The 20,242-nt window shown below is 42.8% G+C and overlaps 1 protein-coding gene and 1 long non-coding RNA gene across 3 annotated transcripts in view; one reads left to right on the top strand and one right to left on the bottom strand.

The window, feature by feature from the left end:
- The window catches only part of LOC105370269 (uncharacterized), a 44,572-nt gene that overhangs the window by 8,734 nt on the left and 15,596 nt on the right, over nt 1-20,242 (top strand). The gene's annotated exons all lie outside the window — the stretch shown is intronic.
- ACOD1 (aconitate decarboxylase 1) lies at nt 9,356-19,483 on the bottom strand. 2 transcript variants are annotated; one of them, NM_001258406.2, is made up of 5 exons: nt 19,424-19,483; nt 15,344-15,505; nt 14,305-14,394; nt 12,470-12,675; nt 9,356-10,984 (listed from the first exon to the last, which is right to left on the bottom strand). In NM_001258406.2, the coding sequence occupies exons 1-5, from the start codon at nt 19,433-19,435 to the stop codon at nt 10,009-10,011; spliced, it is 1,446 nt and encodes a 481-aa protein (NP_001245335.1). In that variant the 5' UTR covers nt 19,436-19,483; the 3' UTR covers nt 9,356-10,008. The 2 variants fall into 2 exon arrangements, with proteins under 2 accessions (NP_001245335.1, XP_047286537.1); XM_047430581.1 differs by lacking the exon at nt 19,424-19,483 and having other exon boundaries at nt 15,344-15,521.

The raw sequence follows: 20,242 nt of genomic DNA, 5'->3' as shown, positions 1-20,242 counted from the left end.
ACTCCAGCCAGGGGCTCAGGGACTGAACCCTGATCTCCCTGGGTCTGAGCCCCTAGGGGAAGGGGTAGCCATAGTCTCCACGGACTAGCTGACTTAGTCTTTCCTCCTGCTAGTTCTGAGGAACCCAGACAGCCCAGACGAGTGCATTTCCCCCCAGCAAAGCACACCCCCTCCACCAAGGGATATTCAAAGTGCTATATTAAACGGGTCCTGTTCTCTGTGCCACCCAACTGGGTGAGACCTGAGACCTTCCAACAGGGGTTGCCAGATACCCTATACAGGAGCATTCCTACTGGCATCAGGTCAGTGCTCCTTGAGGTTAGAGATCCCAGAGGAAGGAGGAGTCACCCATCTTGCTGTTCTCCAGCCTCCTTGAGTGACATCTTCAGGAGTGGGAGCAAATTAGATGAATAGGGCCTGAAGTGAAGCCCCAGCAAACTGCGGCAGCCCTACAGAAGAGGGACCTGACCATTGAAAGAAAAACAAACAGAAAGCAACAACAACAGCATGAACAAAAAAGTCTCCACAAAAACCTCATTCAAGGGTCAGCAGCCTCAAAGATTGAAACTCATGAAGACGAGAAAGAATCAACGAAAAAACACTGAAAACCTGAAAGGCCAGAATGGCTCTTCTCCAAATGATCGCAACACCTCTCCAGCAGGGGCACAGAACTGAACAGAGGATGAGATGGATGAAGTGACAGAAGTAGGCTTCAGAAGATGGGTAATAACAAACTCTGCTGAGCTAAAGGGGCGTGTTCTAACCCAATGCAAAGAAGATAAGAACTTTGATAAAAGGTTGCAGGAGCTGTTAACTAGAATAACCAGTTTAGAGAGGAACATAAATGACCTGATGGAGCTGAGAAACACAGCATGAGAACTTTGTAACACATACACAAGTATCAATAGCCGAAGCGACCAAGCAGAAGAAAGGGTATCAGAGTTGGAAGACCATCTTGCTGAAATAAGGCACACAGACAAGATTAGAGAAAAAAGAATGAAAAGGAACAAACAAAACCTCCGAGAAATATGGGACTATGTAAAAAGACTCAACCTATGATTGACTGGAGTACCCGAAGAAGATGGGGAGAACGGAACCAACTTGGAAAACACACTTCAGGATATTATCCAGGAGAACTTCCCCAACCTAGCAAGACAGGCCAACATGCAAATTCAGGAAATACAGAAAACACCACTAAGACACTCCACGAGTAGATCAACCCCAAGACACATAATCATCAGATTCTCCAAGGTCAAAATGAAGGAAAAAATGTTAAGGGCAGCCAGAGAGAAAGGACAGGTCACCTACAAAGGGAAGCCCATCAGACCAACAGCGGATCTCTGTGCAGAAATCCTACAGTTTTAAGCCTACTGGGGATATCAGCTTTAGTTAATACTGTGATAGAACACACAGCTTACAGGGCTCAAGTGCAACAGAGCAGTGGCAATGCCTAAAGTGGAGGTGAGGTCCAACTTTTATATAACATTTTCCTACCCTGCAAAGCTGCACAAACAGGAAAGGAAGGGGTTTCAGGTTTAAAAGCCACGCAGAAAAGAAATAACATAGCAGACCTGAGGCTGCTGCTTTAGGAAACACTTGCTTACCAGGCTGGCCCTTGGCTGGTGTCTAGGAACATAGCACTTTAACCCACTCTCTAGCTGATAAGAATGATTCATTGTATCTAGACTGCGCAAGCAACTTGGTTTATGCTGAATACCCGCTTTTCTTCTTTGAGTTTGGAATTCTGATTATTTCTAGGGAGAGGGTGCCTACATAACCAACCATGTAAAATCTTTGAATGCTGAGTCTCTTTCTAGGGCAGAAACATTGCACACACATTACTGAATTTTTCGCTGCTGACAAAAGGAGCCTGCTTCATGAGTCTCCTCAGGGGAGGGAGAGAGCATTAAAAGCCTGTGCTTGGATTTTTCCAGACTTTGCATGTGTGTTTTTCTGTTGCTTATCGTGTCATGTATCCTTGCACTGTAGTAAACCCTAGCCACGGGGCTACTAAATGCTGGGTCCTTCTCATGAATCACCAAATGTGTGCATGGCCTCAGGCATCCCTGAAACATATGCAATAGCCAGCACTAGGGCTCTTTAAAGATGGCAAAAATGTTTCTGCTGACTGAGGCAGTTTGACTCGGGGCCATGGATGTGTGCCAAGGATGCAGAAGTACAGGGAGGGAGCTGAAATGGAAACTTTCTCTGTGAGCCTGAAGCCTTTGTCCCAGGCTCAGGGTGGGTTTCTCCCTGGTGATCTGGCCTGATCCATGTGGAGGGCTAATTTGCTTGTACCTAAGCCCTATAACAATAAAAATGGACTGAGCAGCATCTTTGGTTGTTCTCCCTAAGGGAATGAGAGGGAAAACGCAAGCATTTGCCACAATTCCTAGACGTCAGATCAATTCCTAGACTTTAAATCAAAATTCTAGCCCCATCTCAGGCTTTCTCAGGGCAGGGCAGCTCAGAAACAGTGCTTGTTCTCCAGCCTCATGGAAGGAAGAGACAAGAGGGCTCAGGTCTAACTCCAGCATTCCAATGCAAGGTCTCCACTCGCCCTTTGTAAGTTGAAGACCAGCCCAGGAAATATAGTGAGGCCCTGTCTCTGCAAAAAACAAATTAAAAAAATTGGCTGGGCATGATGGTGCATACCTGTAGTCCCAGCTACTCAGGAGGCTGAGGTAGGAGGATTGTTTGAGCCTGGGAAGCTGAGGCTGTAGTGAGCCATGATCATGCCACTGCACTCTAGCCTGGGCAACAGGGCAAAACCCTGTCTGGGGAAAAAAAAAAAGCCGGGCACGGTGGCTCTTGCTTGTAATCCCAGCACTTTGGGAGGCCAAGGTGGGTGGATCACCTGAGGTCAGGAGTTCGAGACCAGCCTGGCCAACATGGCGAAACCCCATCTCTACTAAAAAAATACAGAAAATTAGCCAGGCATGGTGGCACATGCCTGTAATCACAGCTACTCGGGAGGCTGAGGCAGGAGAATCACTTGAACCCAGGAGGCAGACGTTGCAGTGAGATGAGATTGTGCCTTTGCACTCCAGCCTGGGCAACAGAGTGAGACTCCATCTCAAAAAAAAAAAAAAAAAAAAACAGAAAAGAAAAAAAGAAAGAAATCATCACCTGGAAAGGATGTGGAGAGTGGATCTCTCTCCCCTCTCTTCCTCTCTGTCTCTCCCATTTATATGTGTGGCCTGCCAGTGAAGAGGAGCCTTCAGCTCTCTCTATAGGCCAACATTTCCCTGATGTATTCTCCTGCCTTCAGTTTACTCAGTGGGCATAATGACCAACATCAAGGTCACCCTGAGTACTCTTGTCCCCCTCAGGAGAGAGTGGCTTCCCCAACCCCTGCTGGTGGTCTGAGGCATCTGTCAGGTCTTATCTGAGGATATTATTAATAGTCCTTAGATGTTGCCCCTAGAAACGTCTGCAATGCATCAAGAAAGTACAATTAAATTTACCTCAGGGCTACAATTAAAGAAACCTCTTTTACCTTTTCTTTGATCAGCTGTGTTCAGACAAATTCATCAGGGATTTGTGATGTGTCCTGTGGAACAGCATAATCCAAGTAATAATAGAGAGCCAGCGATTCTACATGTAATTTCAAAGTACTGCTTCAGTTACATCTTACCAGTTCTGATTTGTAGTATTTTTGTCATTGGTTAGTCCCAAATATTTTATAATTTTCATTATTTATTTTGTGATGCAAAATATAAAATAAAAAAAATTTGTGTGTCTTCATTTACAAATACTTCAGGCTTTTTTATTTTTTGGATTACATTTTATTTTATTATTTTATTTTATTTATTTATTTTTCTTTTTTTTTATTATACTTTAAGTTTTAGGGTACATGTGCACATTGTGCAGGTTAGTTACATATGTATACATGTGCATGCTGGTGTGCTGCACCCACTAACTCGTCATCTAGCATTAGGTATATCTCCTGATGCTATCCCTCCTCCCTCCCCCTACCCCACAACAGTCCCCAGAGTGTGATATTCCCCTTCCTGTGTCCATGTGATCTCATTGTTCAATTCCCACCTATGAGTGAGAATATGCGGTGTTTGGTTTTTTGTTCTTGCGATAGTTTACTGAGAATGATGATTTCCAATTTCATCCATGTCCCTACAAAGGACATGAACTCATCATTTTTTATGGCTGCATAGTATTCCATGGTGTATATGTGCCACATTTTCTTAATCCAGTCTATCATTGTTGGACATTTGGGTTGGTTCCAAGTCTTTGCTATTGTGAATAATGCTGCAATAAACATACGTGTGCATGTGTCTTTATAGCAGCATGATTTATAGTCCTTTGGGTATATACCCAGTAATGGGATGGCTGAGTCAAATGCTATTTCCAGTTCTAGATCCCTGAGGAATCGCCACACTGACTTCCACAAGGGTTGAACTAGTTTACAGTCCCACCAACAGTGTAAAAGTGTTCCTATTTCTCCACATCCTCTCCAGCACCTGTTGTTTCCTGACTTTTTAATGATTGCCATTCTAACTGGTGTGAGATGGTATCTCATTGTGGTTTTGATTTGCATTTCTCTGATGGCCAGACAGGGTCTTACTTTGTTGCCCAGGATGGAGTGCAATGGTGCCATCATATCTCATTGTAGCCACAATCTCCTGGGGTCAAGTGATCCTCCTGCCTCAGCCTCCTGAGTAGCCAGGACTGCACGAACATGTGTGCCACTGCGGCTGGCAGCTTTTCTAATTATCTTTTTTAAAATATTGATCTTTAACTTAATTGCATTGTGATTAGAGAAAATAACTGTATGATCCAGTACTTTGAAAAGTTGTTGAGACTGGCATTATGGCTCAGTGTTAGTCCACTTTTGTAAATGTTCTATGAGATTTCTAAAAGATTGTGAAATCTCTAGTTGTTGGGTACAGAATTCCTGTTGTATAAACATGTTGATTGTGTTTAAATATTATGTAGCCCATTTATTTTTGGTTTCCTTGAATATCAATTAATAGGAGAGGAATGTTAAAAATCTCTCAGTATGGTGGTAGATGGATTTCTTCTTGCAGTTCAATATGATTTAGGTGCATGTAGGGTTAGGATTATTTCAGTTAGCTGGTGATTTGAATTTTTTATCGTTACATAGTGACACTATTTATAGTAATGCTTGGTCCAATACTAACATTTATTTGTCCAGTTTTCTTTTGTTAATATTCCATCCGTATATCCCCCATCTTTTATACCGTCAACCCTTCTGCATTTTTTATTTGTCTTGCATAAAGTATATAATTGGATTTTAGAAAGTCTTCTGATGACATCCAAAGCCAGAATGATAAATTTTTTTTAAAAAATGAAAAGACAAACCACAGAGTGGGAGAAAATTTTTACAAAACATGTATCTGATAAAGGATTTATACCCAGAATATATAAAGAGCTCTTATATATTCCAGGTATACGTCCATACCATAAGAAGACCACACAATAAAAAGAACTGGAAAAATGGAGGAGAATGAGTCATTAGGGAAATGCAAATTAAAACCACAATGAGATAACATTACACACTCACTAGAATGGCTGAAATAAAAATGACTGACAATTCTAAGGTTTGGTAAGTATGAGGAGAAACTGGAACCCTCATATATTGTTGGAGAAAACGTAACATGATAGAGCTACTTTGGAAAATCGTTTTTTATAAAGTTAAAAATATATTTACCCAGTGACCCAGAGTCACTCCTAGGTATCTATCAAAAAGAAATGGAAACATATGTTCACACAAAGACCTGTACGTAAATGCTCATAGAAACACTATTCATAATAGCCCAAACTGGAGGCAACCCAACTGTCTATTAATTAGTGAATGGGTAAACAAACATTGGCATATCCCTACAATGGAAAGCTGTCCAGCAATGAAAAGCAAAAAAGTGCTGACACATATGTGGAAGAATCTCAAAACCATTATGCCAGTGAAAGAAGGCAAACACATATGACTGCTTATTATATTATTTGATTTGTCCGAAATGTCTAGAAACAACAGAATTATAGAGATACATCACTGGTTACTATGGGCTGGAGGTGGGAATGGGGATTGATCCCAGATAATATGAGAAAATTTCTTGGAGTAAAAGGAAGTATTCCAAAACTGAATTGTGGTGATGCATGCACAACTCTATAAATTTACTAAAACTTACTGAACCGTACACTTAAAATGGATGAATTAATATGTAAATTAAACATCAATAAAGTTGTTAAACATTTAAAAAATATGTTCAGGAAATCTTGGTCTTTTTAAACTGGAACATTTAGTCCATTTACTCTTTTTGTAATTATAGATATATTTGAATTTTTCCTACCATTTTATTTTGTGCTTTTTATATGTCCTTTTTTATATTTCTTTCCCCCTCATTTTTTGCCTTCCTTTGGATTTTTTTTTGAGGGTCTTGCTCTGTTGCCTACGCTGGAGTACAGCAGCATGATCATGGCTCACTGTAGCCTATGCCTCTGGGGCTCAAGCAATCCTCCAACTTCAACCTCCTGAGTAGCAGGGACTACAAGTGTGTGTCACCATGTTTGGCTAATTTTTTTGATTTTTTTTGTAGAGATGAAATATCACTATGTTGTCCAGACTGTCTCATCAAACTCCTGGGCTCAAGCAGTACTCCTACCTTGGCCTCCCAGAGTGTTGGGATTACAGGCATGAACCACCATGCCTGGCCAGATTATATTTTTCTAATTCAATTTTTCTCCTTCTATTAACCTGGAAGTGGTACATTCTACTGCTGTTCTCGAATGGTTATCCTAGAAATTTCAGTGGACATATAATATGGTTTGGCTGTGTTCCCCACCCACATCTCATCTTGAACTGCAGTTCCCATAATCCCCATGTGTTGTGGGAGGGACCCTGTGGGAGATAATTGAATTATGATGCAATTTACTTTCATGCTGCTGTTCTTATGTTAGTGAGTGCATTCTCCTGAGATCTGATGATTTTATAAGGGGCTTTTCTCCCTTCTGCTTGGCTTTTCTTCTTCCTGCTATCATGTGAAGAAGGACATGTTTGCTTCTCCTTCTGCCGTGATTGTAAGTTCTTGAGACCTCCCCAGTCAAGCGGAACTGTGAGTCAGTTAAACCCCTTCCTTTATAAATTACCCAGTCTCGGGCAGTTCTTTATAGCAGTGTGAGAATGGACTAATACAGTAAATTGGTACTAGGAGTGGGGTACTGCTATAAAGATACCCCAACATGTGGAAGAGACTTTGGAACTGGGTAACAGGCAGAGGTTGGAAAAGTCTGAAGGGCTCAGAAGACAGAAAGATATGGGAAAGTTTGGAACTTCCCAGAGACATGTTGAATGGCATTGACCAAAATGATGATAGTGATATGGACAATGGAATCCAGGTCTCAGATGGAGATGAGGAACTTGTTGGGAACTAGAATAAAGGTGACTGTTGCTACGTTTTAGCAAAGAGACTGGTGGCGTTTTGCCCCTGCCATAGAGATCTGTGGAACTTTGAACTTGAGGGAAGATTTAGGGTATCTGGTGGGAGAAATTTCTAAGCAGCAAAGCATTCAAGAGGTGACTTAGGTGCTGTTAAAAGCATCCTATTTTATGTATTCACAAAGATATGGTTTGGAATTGAAACTTGTGTTTAAAAGAGAAGCAGAGCATGAAAGTTCAGAAAATTTGCATCTTGATGATGTGATGGAAGAGAAAAACCCATTTTCTGAGAAGAAATTCAAGCCATCAGTAGAAATTCACATAAGTAACACGGAGCCAAATGTTGATCACCAAGACAATGGGGAAAATGTCTGCAGGACATGTGAGAACTCTTCACAGCAGTGCCTCCCAACACAGGCCCAGAGGCCTAGGAGAGAAAAATAGTTTCATTGGCTGGGCCCAGGGCCTTGCTGCTTTCTACAGTCTCAGGGCTTACTTGGTTCCCTGCATCCCAGATGAGGCTAAAATGGGCCAAGGTACAGCTCAGGCCATGGCTTCAAGGGGTGTAAGCCCCAAGTCTTGGCAGCTTCCATGTGGTTTTGAGCCTGTGGGTGCACAGAAGTCAAGAATTGAGGTTTGAGAACCTCCTTCTAGATTTCAGAGGATGTATGGAAATGCCTGGATGTCCAGGCAGAAGTTTGCAGCAGGGGTGGAGCCCTCATGTAGAACCTCTGCTTGGGCAGTGCAGAAGGGAAATGTGGGACTGCAGCCCCCACAGAAAGTCCCCACTGGGGCACTGCCTAGTGGAGCTGTGAGAAGAGGGCCACTGTCCTCCAGACTCCAGAATGGTAGATCCACCGACGGCTTGCAATATGTGCCTGGAAAAGCTGTGGACACTCAATGCCAGCCTGTGAAGGAAGCTGGGAGGAGGGGGCTGTACCCTGCAAAACCACAGGGACACAGCTGCCCAAGGCCATGGGAGTCCCACCTCTTGTATCAGAATGACCTGGATGTGAGACATGGAGTCAAAGGATGTCATTTTGGAGCTTTAAGATTTGACTGCCCCGCTGGGTTTTGGATTTGCATGGGGGCTGTAGCCCCTTTGTTTTGGCCAATTTCTCCCATTTGGAATGGATGTATTTACCCAGTGCTTTTACCCCCATTGTATCTAGGAAGTAACTAACTTGCTTTTGATTTTACAGGTCCATAGGCAGAAGGGACTTGCCTTGTCTCAGATGAGACTTTGGAGTTAGACTTTTGCCTTGATGCTGGAATGAGTTAAGACTTTCAGGGACTGTAGGGAAGGCATGATTGTGCTTTGAAATGTGAAGACATGATGTTTGGGAGGGGCCAGAGGCAGAATGATTTGGTATGACCGTGTCCCCACCCAAATGTCATCTTGAATTATAGTTTCCATAATCCCCATGTGTTGTGGGAGGGACCTGGTGGGAGGTAATTGAACCATGGTGCCAGTTACTTTCATGCTTCTATTCTTATGATAGTAAGTTCTCCTGAAATCTGACGGTTTATAGGGAGCTTTCCTGCCTTCTGCTCAGCACTTCTCCTTCCTATGAAGGAAGCACTTCTCCTTCATATGAAGAAGGACGTGTTTGCTTCTCCTTCTGGCATGATTCTAAGTTTCTTGAGGCCTCCTCTGTCATGTGGAACTGTGAGTCAATTAAACCTCTTTCCTTTGTAAATTACCCAGTCTTGGGCAGTTCATTATAGCAGCATGAGAACGGACTAATACAGCATACTTATTAATCAACATCTAGAGTTAATAGGTTGCCCTTTTATTGAACAATACCAGGGATTTGTAACACATTAACTATGATTGTTAGTGTTGCATTTTTAACCCCCATGACACTTCTATTATTTTAATACAGTTTAGTATTTATATAATTACTCACGTATTTACTTCTCTTTTTTCCTTTTCATTCTTTATTGCAACTCTGATTCAAATATTTTTATACTGAAAGGTGATATATTGCAGTGCTTAAGACCATGGGTTCTAGAGCCAAAATGCGATTTTTCCAGACTGCTTTTTACTTCGGCTTGACAAATAGGGAAACTGAGGCAGAGGGCTAATGGTAACATGCTCAAGGCTACATCTAGTGAATGGCAGAGGCAGGATTTAAACCCACCCATTCCCCAGTAGCACCCCTTGCACTGTGGAGGGCTTGGTAATAAGCCATGGTCTAGGAGATCTGTTGGTGACACAATGCACCAGAGCCCTCTCCACTGTCAGAAAATATACATGCAGGTTCACATCCCTCTAAAACCTTGAGGCTCATGAAGTCCACACATAATTCCTATGAAGAGATTAATTTTATAAGTAAATCACAGGTGAGTTGAATTTCACCCTTGTGAATGCTTACAAACTCATTTTTGTGTGTGTGTTTCATCTTGATTTAGGTAAGTGGAACTGTCCTGCAAAATTTTCAGGAGAAGGCTCCTTCCAGATATATGTAGTTCTGTTTCTGGACTCTCTCCATCTTTGTTCATTTTTCCTGGGAAAACCAAGCAGCAGACCCTTGCTTTACAAACCAAATCATTGAATCTCCCCAAATGCAAAGTCATTTAGATGTTGGTAAGCCTCAGGAGAGATTTGTGATAGAATTATTACATGCTGGAGAGTTTGAAGCTACCTCTGGTGGAGAGGGTCCTTTGAGAAGTGTAGTTAACACAGAACAGTCTTCTAGGTCTTCTAGATTTTTGACTATCTTTATAAGGCTTTCCACTGTGTCCCAGGACAGCATCTTGGAGGCATTGGCTCTGAACTTTTCCTCTAGGTCCTCCTGGCTCAGTGGTTTTCTCCAGTGCCCATAGAAGGTATCAGAGCGATCTGTGAAGGTGGCTCCATCCTTGAGGGTGACACTTATTTCACAGTACAGTATGTTGAAGCTTGGCAAGTTGTCCGGAGGGTACTCCAGCTCCACCTTACTGAGCAGCTCTCTCACCTGTGGCCTGTTGATCTGGCATTCATGGAATGAGGGGACAGTGATGCCACCATCAAGCAGCATGGCACAGGCCACATACTGGAATGAATGACGGGCTTCATGCTCCGAAACTGGAAAGGGCCTGTTTACATACTGGACATTTGGTATCCTGAGCACAATTCTCTTAATGTAGTCAGTTGGAAGCAGGGCTCTCTCTGCTACAAGGTGCTTTCTCACAGATGCAGCTGCGTCTGCCACCCAGTGGGTAGATAAATGTGCAGGAAAACGCTTAAAGGCCACGTCCTGCTGGTCCAGCAGCCAACTGTAGGAAGCTATGCTTGGAAGGACTTTTGGGGAATAGTTGGCATAAAAGGCCCCAAATCCTGCCTCCAAGTCCAAGACCTGCTTGTTTCCTTGGAGACCCAACATTGCCAAAAATGCAGCTTCTATCCCATGCTTGGCAGCATTGCCAATGTGGAGGGGCTTGGTCTGGGTGGCAGCATTGGCCATGGGTGCCCCAGCATGGGAAACAGCAATGGCCAGAGCTTCTCGGCACTTTGTCGAGCTAAGTCCTAAAAACTTGGATGCAGCAGCAGCACTACCCAACGTTCCTACCACGGAAGGGGGATGGAATCTGAAAAGCAAAGAAGCAGAGTTGGAGATGTACAAACCGTAACCACCAGGAGGCAGGATAGCGTAGTCATCAAGAACATTGATAATGGAGTCACACTGTCTGGGTTCAGATCTCAGCTCCATTACTTTATTAGCTATATGATCTGGGGAAAATTATTCAACTTCTCTGTAGAGTTTTTCTTACACAAAATGGTGATAGGCGAGGTGTGGTGGTTCATGCCTGTAATCCCAGGACTTTGGGAGGCCAAGGTGGGAGGGTCATCTGAGGTCAGGAGTTTGAGACTAGGTTGGCCAACATGGCAAAACACTGACTCTACTAAAAATACAAAAATTTGCCGGATGTGGTGGTGGGTGCCTGCAGTCCCAGCTACTTGGGAGACTGAGGCAGGAGAATCCCTTGAACCTGGGAGGCAGACGCTGCAGTGAGCTGAGATCATGCTGCTGCACTCCAGCCTAGGTGACAGAGTGAGACTGTCTCAAAAAAATATAATAATAAAAATAATAATAATAAGGCCGGGCACGATGGCTCACGCCTGTAATCCCAGCACTTTGGGAGGCTGAGGCAGGCAGATCACAAGGTCAAGAGCTCGAGACCATCCTGGCCAACATGACGAAACCCCGTCTCTACTAAAAATACAAAAATTAGCTGGGCATGGTGGTGCATGCCTGTAGTCCCAGCTACTTGGGAGGCTGAGGCAGGAGAATCACTTGAACCCAGGAGGCGGAGGTTGCAATGAGCCAAGATTACACCACTGCACTCCAGCCTGGCAACAGAGCGAGACTCCATCTCAAAAAATAAAATAAAATGGTGATAATAATAACATCTACCTCTTAGAGTTTTAGGAGCTTTGAATAAATTAACATGTTTACAATAGTGCTAGCACATAGTGAGTTCTTTATAAATGGTACCATTACAATTATTGCCAGAAAGGCAACAGCTATTGATTGCTGAGATCTCATCTAAGTCACTGTGAGAATTGTGGGCCTTGAAGAAACTGAAACTTCACTACCTAGTATTTCAATTTACTTCTCTCCTGGCAGGCTGGAGCAAGTGGCAACATAAATCTGAGACTGAGCCATATGATGTGGCCGACATTTGACCATTTTTTATCTGCAGGATGAACAGTCAGAGTAAGGATATTCTGAATGTCCTCATTAGTCTGAGGGACGCTAGCTAGTCTCAGAATAGATTCTGCTTTGAGAATGAAATAAGGAATACTCAGTACACCCATGAATGCCAGAATGACATGAATCACCTTGCAACGAGAGGCCCAATTAATCTCACGGTCCAGGTTGCACTCTTGAAGTCACTTCTTTAAATGTGGATAGAGGGTTTCGTATGTGACTGGTGTATTGACTTATCTACCTGTGCTAATGTTAACATCTTCCTCTGAACCGGCCTCTAAGTCAGAAAGCTCTACGGAGATAATGATTGATAGATGAAGGGGATGTGACTACCTTTTGATGGGGCAAATTCTCTCCATACCTCTTTGGCATGTCATTGGCCTCCTTGGCGAAATGCAGTAATCGGCCTTGCACTTCAATACCAACATTGAAAGCCAGCAGCAGGTCAAGGCCAGAAAACTTTGGACTCCTTGGCAGGGCTTCTGCTAAAGCTGTGAGGACAGGAAGGACAGCCCCAGAAGGGTGGGTGGCAGGGTGCCACGTGTCATCAAAATCCATGGAGTGAATCTGTATAAACAGACACAAACAGCAACAAAAAGCCTTAAATTTTCCCTTAATGCAATGGCTTTTGGACCACTAAGGACTTAGTTTAGTAATAACCTTGTTTTATGTGAGATTCTTTTGATCTGATTCTCAGAAAAGAAAATCTGAGAAATGTCTGTGATTTTTTTTCTTTTTTTTTTTTTTTTTTTTTTTTTTGAGACAGAGTCTTGCTCTGTCACCTAGGCTGGAGTGCAGTGGCATGATCCTGGCTCACTGCAACCTCTGCCTCCTGGGTTCAAGCAATTCTCCTGCCTCAGCCTCTGGAGCAGCTGGGATAACAGGTGCCCACCACCGCACCTGGCTAATTTTTGTATTTTTAGTAGAGACGGAGTTTCACTATGTTGGCCAGGGTGGTCTCAAACTCCTGACCTCGTTATCCGCCCGCCTCAGCCTCCCAAAGTGCTAGGATTACAGGCGTGAGCCACCACACCTGGCCTGGCTGTGATTATTAATCACATGGCCGGGCACTGGGAAATGCTGTTCCTCTGCCAGAGGAAGGGAGTACCTTGGAGAGCAGCTTGTGAGCCCCAAGGAGCTTGGGTCTTGCCCTGGTGGCCTGAGCTCCCTCTGCTGTGGCCCCTGGAAAGATCTATATTCCCTTTTAAAAACAAAGCTGCAGAATCAGGTGGCTGGCAATTCCTCCTCCACCCTTTAAATAAGTTGCACTGCAAGTTTAATGTCATTTATTCCATATGAGGCCATACGTTTTTGTACCTTTTTATTATGAAATAATTTCAAACTTTTAGAGAAGTTGTAAGAATAGCACAATAACTGTCAAACTCAGATTAACTTTTCAGCTATATATTTTAAAAATCATTATTTTCTGCTTTAAGATCTTATTCCTCTTTCTCCTAGCCATTTTCTTTTTCTTTATATTAAAACAGTAATATCCAGAAGTTCATTTAAAAATAGATTTTTATATCTATTTGCTGTCACTGGTGCATTTCCCACTGCTTTCAGGACATTGCTTTGGAATGCACCGTTGGCTTTAACTTTCAATCTCCTGAGCTATTGTACCCATAAATCATAAAAATATCTCGGAAATCCCAACATGTCTGTTTCCAAGTTACATCTTGTAGAATATTTCCCGTGACACACAGAAAAAGCATAAAAATCATCTGTCAGATGAGAAGTACAGATTTTTGGTTCAGAAAATACAGACACTATAAGGCCATTGTTCCTTTCTCAATAACTATCTGTTGAATGGATGAATGAGTGAATGAATAAAGAACACATTACTTGAGAGAAACTGGCCCCACAACAGGAAAAACAGAAGATATTAGGTCTGGATATGGGTTTTATATTTTTTTGCTATTTATATTCAAGGTTTTGAATTGGGATACCTTAGGGTGTTTTTATCTAAATCCTTCCATCTTCTTTCCTCTGCTACACAATCTGTTTGAAAAGCATCAATTTACTGTAAAAACATGAAAACTGAATTACTACATAGGAGAGAGGGTAAGCCACTTTATCTGTCTGACTTTCAGTTCTTTCATCTGTAAAATATAGAATTTGGGCAATTTCTGAGATATTTCCTGACTCTAAAATTATTATGATTATCTAATAGTTGAAAAGACGTGAAAACCTCCTTACAGCCACACCGTTCACAAAAGCAGCATATGTGGGCGGGAGCCTGATGTCTGGCTGACCCCAAACAGTGCTGGATATGTTGGAACTGTAGATCTGGAACAAAAGCAAATCAACCAGTGATAGTGTGAATACAGTATACCAAGTCACCATTTCAAGAGTTATTCTTCATCTTTGGAGGCATTATTCATAGTTCTTACTTGAACCTTTGCCACAGATAGAAGCCCTAGTCATTGAATACCTCTCATCCTTGTAGAATACACAGCTCTCCCCTGTGAAAGGGGGAGGAGATGTCGTTGCTTGATCCTAGATCATGATCCGGAAGTGCTCCAAGGAAGCACATCTGAAGTTACTCTTATTTACTCCTTGGGGTAAATACCAGGGAAGATGGACTAACTGTTTATCTCTAATACACCCTAGGGAGAGCAGGAGCTCTCACATACATCCCCACTCTGCTCAGAGTACTTGACCAGGCTTTTCTCCAGAGAATAATAATAATAAACTGTGAGATATTATTAGCATATTTTTTTTCTGTTTATTTGTTTGTTTGTTTTTAAGACAAGGTCATGCTCTGTTGCCTTGGCTGGAGTGCAGTGGCATGATCTTGACTTACTACAACCCCAACCTCTCAGGCTCAAGTGATCCTCCCACCTCTCAGCCTCCCGAGTAGCTGGGACTATAGGCGTGTGCTATCACACCTGGCTAATTTTTATGTTTTTTGTTTTTGTAGAAATGGGTCTTTGCCATGTTGCCAAGGCTGGTCTCAAATTCCTAGGCTCAAACCGTCTGCCCACCTTGGCCTCTGGTAGTGCTGGGATTACAGATATGAGCCACTGTGCCTCACTGTGTATGGTTTTAAGACAGTGACTTAGTAAAGAATATGGATGACTATTAAAACTCAGATAATGGAACATAGGAAATTATAAAAATGATATAGAACAGTGCTATGTACATCAAGTGCTGTCTATAAAACGAAGTATAGAGTAAATGTAACACATATGTATGCACTGGGTTTTATCTCTAATGTAGACCTTGAGCTTCTTACCTTGCTATATTGGCTGGCTATGTGAAACACTTCCGTAGTGGTTCCCAGGAACCCAGCACCCAGAGTGTCTAGAATCATCCTCTTGCTCCTCTGAATAACACGATCTGTCAGGTGTCCCACTTTCAAGCCATGGATTGCTGTGGCAAAGCTTTCTGTGATAGACTTTAAAGGGAAGAGTGTTAGGACAGGGATACACCCCACTTTACTTACACACTTCTGTTCTATAAGACACCTTGAGGCACTTTTGCATAAAGAGTTTTGCTCCACTACAAGAAACCCAGTTGCTCAGATTTAGTTTAATTTCTAAAAAAAAAAAGATGTGTACTAAGCACCTACTATGTGTGAGGCAGAGTAATGTGGGAGCACACAGCAGCCAGTTTATCTTCTCAGTTGAGTTGAGGGGCAGCATAGCAAGCACAGGACACAGCATTGCGTGATGGGTGGTGGTGGAGGGAAGCACAGAGAGTTGTGGGAGGAGGATGCAAGGGACACCTCGTCTGTGTGATAGAGATTTCTGCGGGTGCAGTGCACAGCTGCTATTATGAGACACCTGCCAGGCACTGTGCTGAATGTCTCAAATATATTACCCTTTTAATACCCACAAGTCTCTAGGTAGTTATTTTTGCAGGTGAGGAGACTGAGACCTAGAGAACTGAAGTTACTAATTTTCACAGCTTTTAGGTGGTGGAATCTGAACATAAACCCCTATAGGTGTAACTCGACAATCAGTGCATCTAGCTATCAAGTCCCAAATGGTCAGACGAACATGTACCTCAGAACTGCCTGGGGTTCTTGCTGAAAAGGAACATTTCTGGTCCCCACTCCAGACCACCAAAATTAGACTCTCCCCAGAAATGGAACCTCTGGAAGCATAGCACAGGATTCTGTTTTCATTAGGATCTCTAGGAGGCTCTCAAGTGCTCTGGTGCTCTTACGTACAATATGGCAGCTACTCCCTAATGTGGCTACTGAGCACTTGAAATGCAGCAAATTGAGATGTGTCATAAGAGTAAAATAAAGACTGATTTTTGAAAGCTTAGTAGGAAAAAAAGGATATAAAGCATCTCAATAATTTAAAAATATTGATTGCATGCTGAATCAATGTTCTATTCATTGACCAGGTGTGGTGGCTCATGCCCGTAATCCCAGCACTTTGGGAGACCAAGGCAGATGGATCACTTGAGGTCAGCAGTTCAAGAACAGCCTGGCCAAGGTGGCAAAACCCCATCTCTACTAAAAATACAAAAATTAGCCGGGTGTGGTGGTGGGTACCTGTAATCCCAGCTACTCAGGAAGCTGAGGTGGGAGAATTGCTTGAACCTGGGAGGCGGAGGTTGCAGTGAGCTGAGATCATGCCACCGCACTCCCGCCTGGGCAACAGAGTGAGACTCCTCTCATCTTAATAAAAAAAATTCAATATATTGATATCAACATAATAATATATGGGATATGGTGTAAATAAAACATGTTATTAATTGATCAGTTTCTTCTAAACATTTTCTAAAATTTAAAATACTAGAAAATTTTAAATTACATATGTGACTTGAGAACCACTGCCTGCTCTTCCCTGTTGGTGGAGACATCGATACTTGATCTGGTTATGAAAACTTAAGAGTAGTCATCAGATAATAGTGTAGGGTGATGAGAATGGAGGGTAAAGGTAGAAGTGGAAGCAAGGGCCAAGGCTGGGAGGTGTGAGAGAGTGGAGGGAGTTTGGCTCCTTTCAGCTGTGGAGTTGCATGCAGGAGACAGAGGTGAGAAGGAGAATGGATTTGCAGCTTATGACCGAATGATGAACATTACATCACTCTAAAGACTGTGATGTCAATGGGGAGCCAAAGTGCTGTCTTAAGAAAAGTAGAGTTATGGTCAGAACTAATGTTTTGGAAAGATTCCTGTAGGCAGTTGTGTAGAGAATGGATTGGAGAGGGGTAGACAGGGGCAGTGAAAAGACTGCTGCAGTATCCCAGGTTCTGGATGGGGAAATGGCAGTGCCATTGGCCAAGAGAGAGAACACAGGAAGAGGAGCAGCCTTCCAAGCAATGATGATGGGCTCAGTGTGAACTTGTTGAATATGAAGTGTCTGTGTTCATCCCACTGGAGAAGCTCATTCTGCTTCTACCCATAAGCTAGATAAGAAAAACATGTAAGATTACTTGAATTTCATAAGCAGTGGAGTACTCTGCAATTCTTTTAAAATTCAAATTCTTCAATATGTAGACTGTTATTTTGTTTTCTACACATTTTCACAAGAGAGCATCTATTATGTAGAGTTAAAAACATCCACTCTTAAGTCAGGTTTCACTATCTGCTCACCACCTAGTGAATATTGGATTGCTTCCCTTTCTTGTTCTGGTTACTACATCATTGCACAACTTAATTTGTCTCTCTCAACATCAGATACTTCATTTTTAAATCTTAGCTGTAGGGTGAGGGGCTATTGGATTAGGGGACCTGGGGTATCTGGGGTTCTTTGATACTGAGCTCAGTGCCAGGACAGAGCTACAGAGATGGAACCCGTGCCTAGCTGAACGTCCTTCAACCTGGACACTGACTAGTCCCATTTACAGAGCCTCATGTCAGGTTTATCAAGTCAAGGAACACTTGCCATTTTCAAAAGGATGGGCTATTTTTTATGTCTCTGAGGGCTTTGATAGAAAGGTGGAGGGGTGTATGGGGTGGGCGAAAGCAGGAGAGAAGATGGCTGGGAGAGAGAAAGGATGGTGGCACAAAGGTTTCAGATTAGGGTGGAAGAATAACAATAATGTTGATTTTCACGCTGCTAGAAATTGCAGTTAAAATATTTTTAGGGGCAGAAAGAGAGAGGAAGAAAGGGTTTAAACTTAAGAGTTTCAAATATTGATTGGATCCCTGACTCTAAGCAAAACTACCTCTTTTAAACCTCTCTTCTCACCCCCACAAACCCCACAGCTGGGGGCATGTAGTGATTGATCATTCATCTCTTCAGGGCTAGATCTGACCCAGGGGTGTCTTATGGAGGAATGTGAGACTGGGGAGCAGTGGGGGAGGTGGGGTGGTGACATGGAGCCCTGGAGGTACTTGCACCATCCATCCATATGAGACCGTGCTGCTGGTGATACAGGAAGGTGGAGCCCTGGAATCCTCTGGAAGTCCTGAACAGCACCCTGTGTGCCAAAGAACACATGGCTGTCCCTGGCCCCTGAAGGAACGAAACGTGAGGGGAATAAACACACAGCTGCTCAGCTGTCTGTGGTCCTTGCGTTCATCTATTTCCAAAATATCTTCTGATCTGCTTGACCTTCTCATGGCATTTGCATCTCTGTTTAGTTAAATACAGTGATTATTTAAGTTAAAGAATAACATAAAGCCACTGAACAAATCAATTTCACAATTTTTTTTTTTCAAGACGGAGTCTCGCTCTGTCGCTAGGCTGGAGTACAGTGACACGATCTCGGCTCACTGCAAGCTCCACCTCCCGGGTTCACGCCATTCTCCTGCCTCAGCCTCCCGAGTAGCTGGGACTACGGGCGCCTGCCACCACGCCCAGCTAATTTTTTGTATTCTTAGTAGAGACCGGGTTTTACCGAGTTAGCGAGCATGGTGTCGATCTCCCCTGATCTCGTGATCCATCCGCCTCGGCCTCCCAAAGTGCTGGGATTACAGGCCTGAGCCACTGTGCCCGGCCCACAAGTTCTTACTATGAGTCCAGCACTGTTCTAAGCTCTCAAGACTGCCAAGTCAATACTGGATGGTTCCTGCCTCAAAAAGCTTATCTTATACAGAAGGTGGTGACAGTAAATAGATTAACAGAAATGCAATCTGGCAGCGTCATAATGGACACATAAAACTAGGGGGTTAAAATTCAATGAACTTGTCATAATTCATTCCCTTCCTAACTTTGTACAATAGAATCATGTATCTCATTTGTAAAACAGTAATGAAAGCCACCATGCAGTTAATTAGGTAGCCCACAGGTTGAAAGAAAAGTTAAAGCAGAAGCAGGTAGTTCTTAAAAGGAGAGGGCAACTGAAGAAATTGAGGAAGGAAGAAGTCTGCTAGAAAAGCAATTTAAGTAAGTCACATAAAATGCTACAATACCTTGAGCATCATTTCGTTGTAAAGAAGAGGTTCAGTTCAGGAGGAGTGAACCAGAGGAGTAATTTGTTTGCTGGATGTCTGACTGCCTTTATACCCTTCACTCCTCTCAAACCCATTTCCCTTCATTTTGTTCTAACCCTAGAATTTCTGTCATTTCAACACCTCCTGACTAGACTCACTTTAACTTCCTCTTTAAGGAATTGTTTAACTCTTACGTGGATGAAGAATTCAATGAGGCTAGGATGTACAGTAATCGTGATCATATGATTACTCACAGGCATCAGAAAAAGTAAATTTATAGTAAAACTAGGATTGCCTTTTGTGCCTACATAGCTTATGTCAATACTAGAAGAATAGTCACACTCTTTTAACTAGGTATTCTACTTCTCAAAATTTATCCTAAGGAAGTAAGCATGGATGTATGGAAAATTTTTGGGAAAAAACTCCACCTGCACACAAACAAAATTCATACCCTTGCTTATAAGATCAAAAATTGGAAACATGACTGGGTGCATTGGCTCACACCTATAATCCTAGTGCTTTGGGAGGCCAAGGTGGGAGGATTACTTGAGGCCAGGAGTTTGAGACCGGCCTGGGCAACAAAACAAGACCTTGCCTCTACAAAAAATAAAAAAAAAAAAAAATAGCCAGGTGTGGTGGCGTGTGCCTGCAGTCATAACTACTTGGGAGGCTGAGGCAGGGGGATCACTTGAGCCCAGGAGATTGAGGCTGCAATGAGCTATGATCACACGACTGCACTCCAGCTTGGGTGACAGAGCGTGACCCTTCAAAAAAAAAAAAAAAAAAAAAAGAAAAGAA

This window comes from Homo sapiens, chromosome 13, assembly GCF_000001405.40.
Source record: "Homo sapiens chromosome 13, GRCh38.p14 Primary Assembly".
Taxonomy (NCBI): Eukaryota; Metazoa; Chordata; class Mammalia; order Primates; family Hominidae; genus Homo; species Homo sapiens.
Note: the sequence above shows the minus strand (reverse complement) of the source record. Positions and strands in the feature narration are given on the sequence as shown.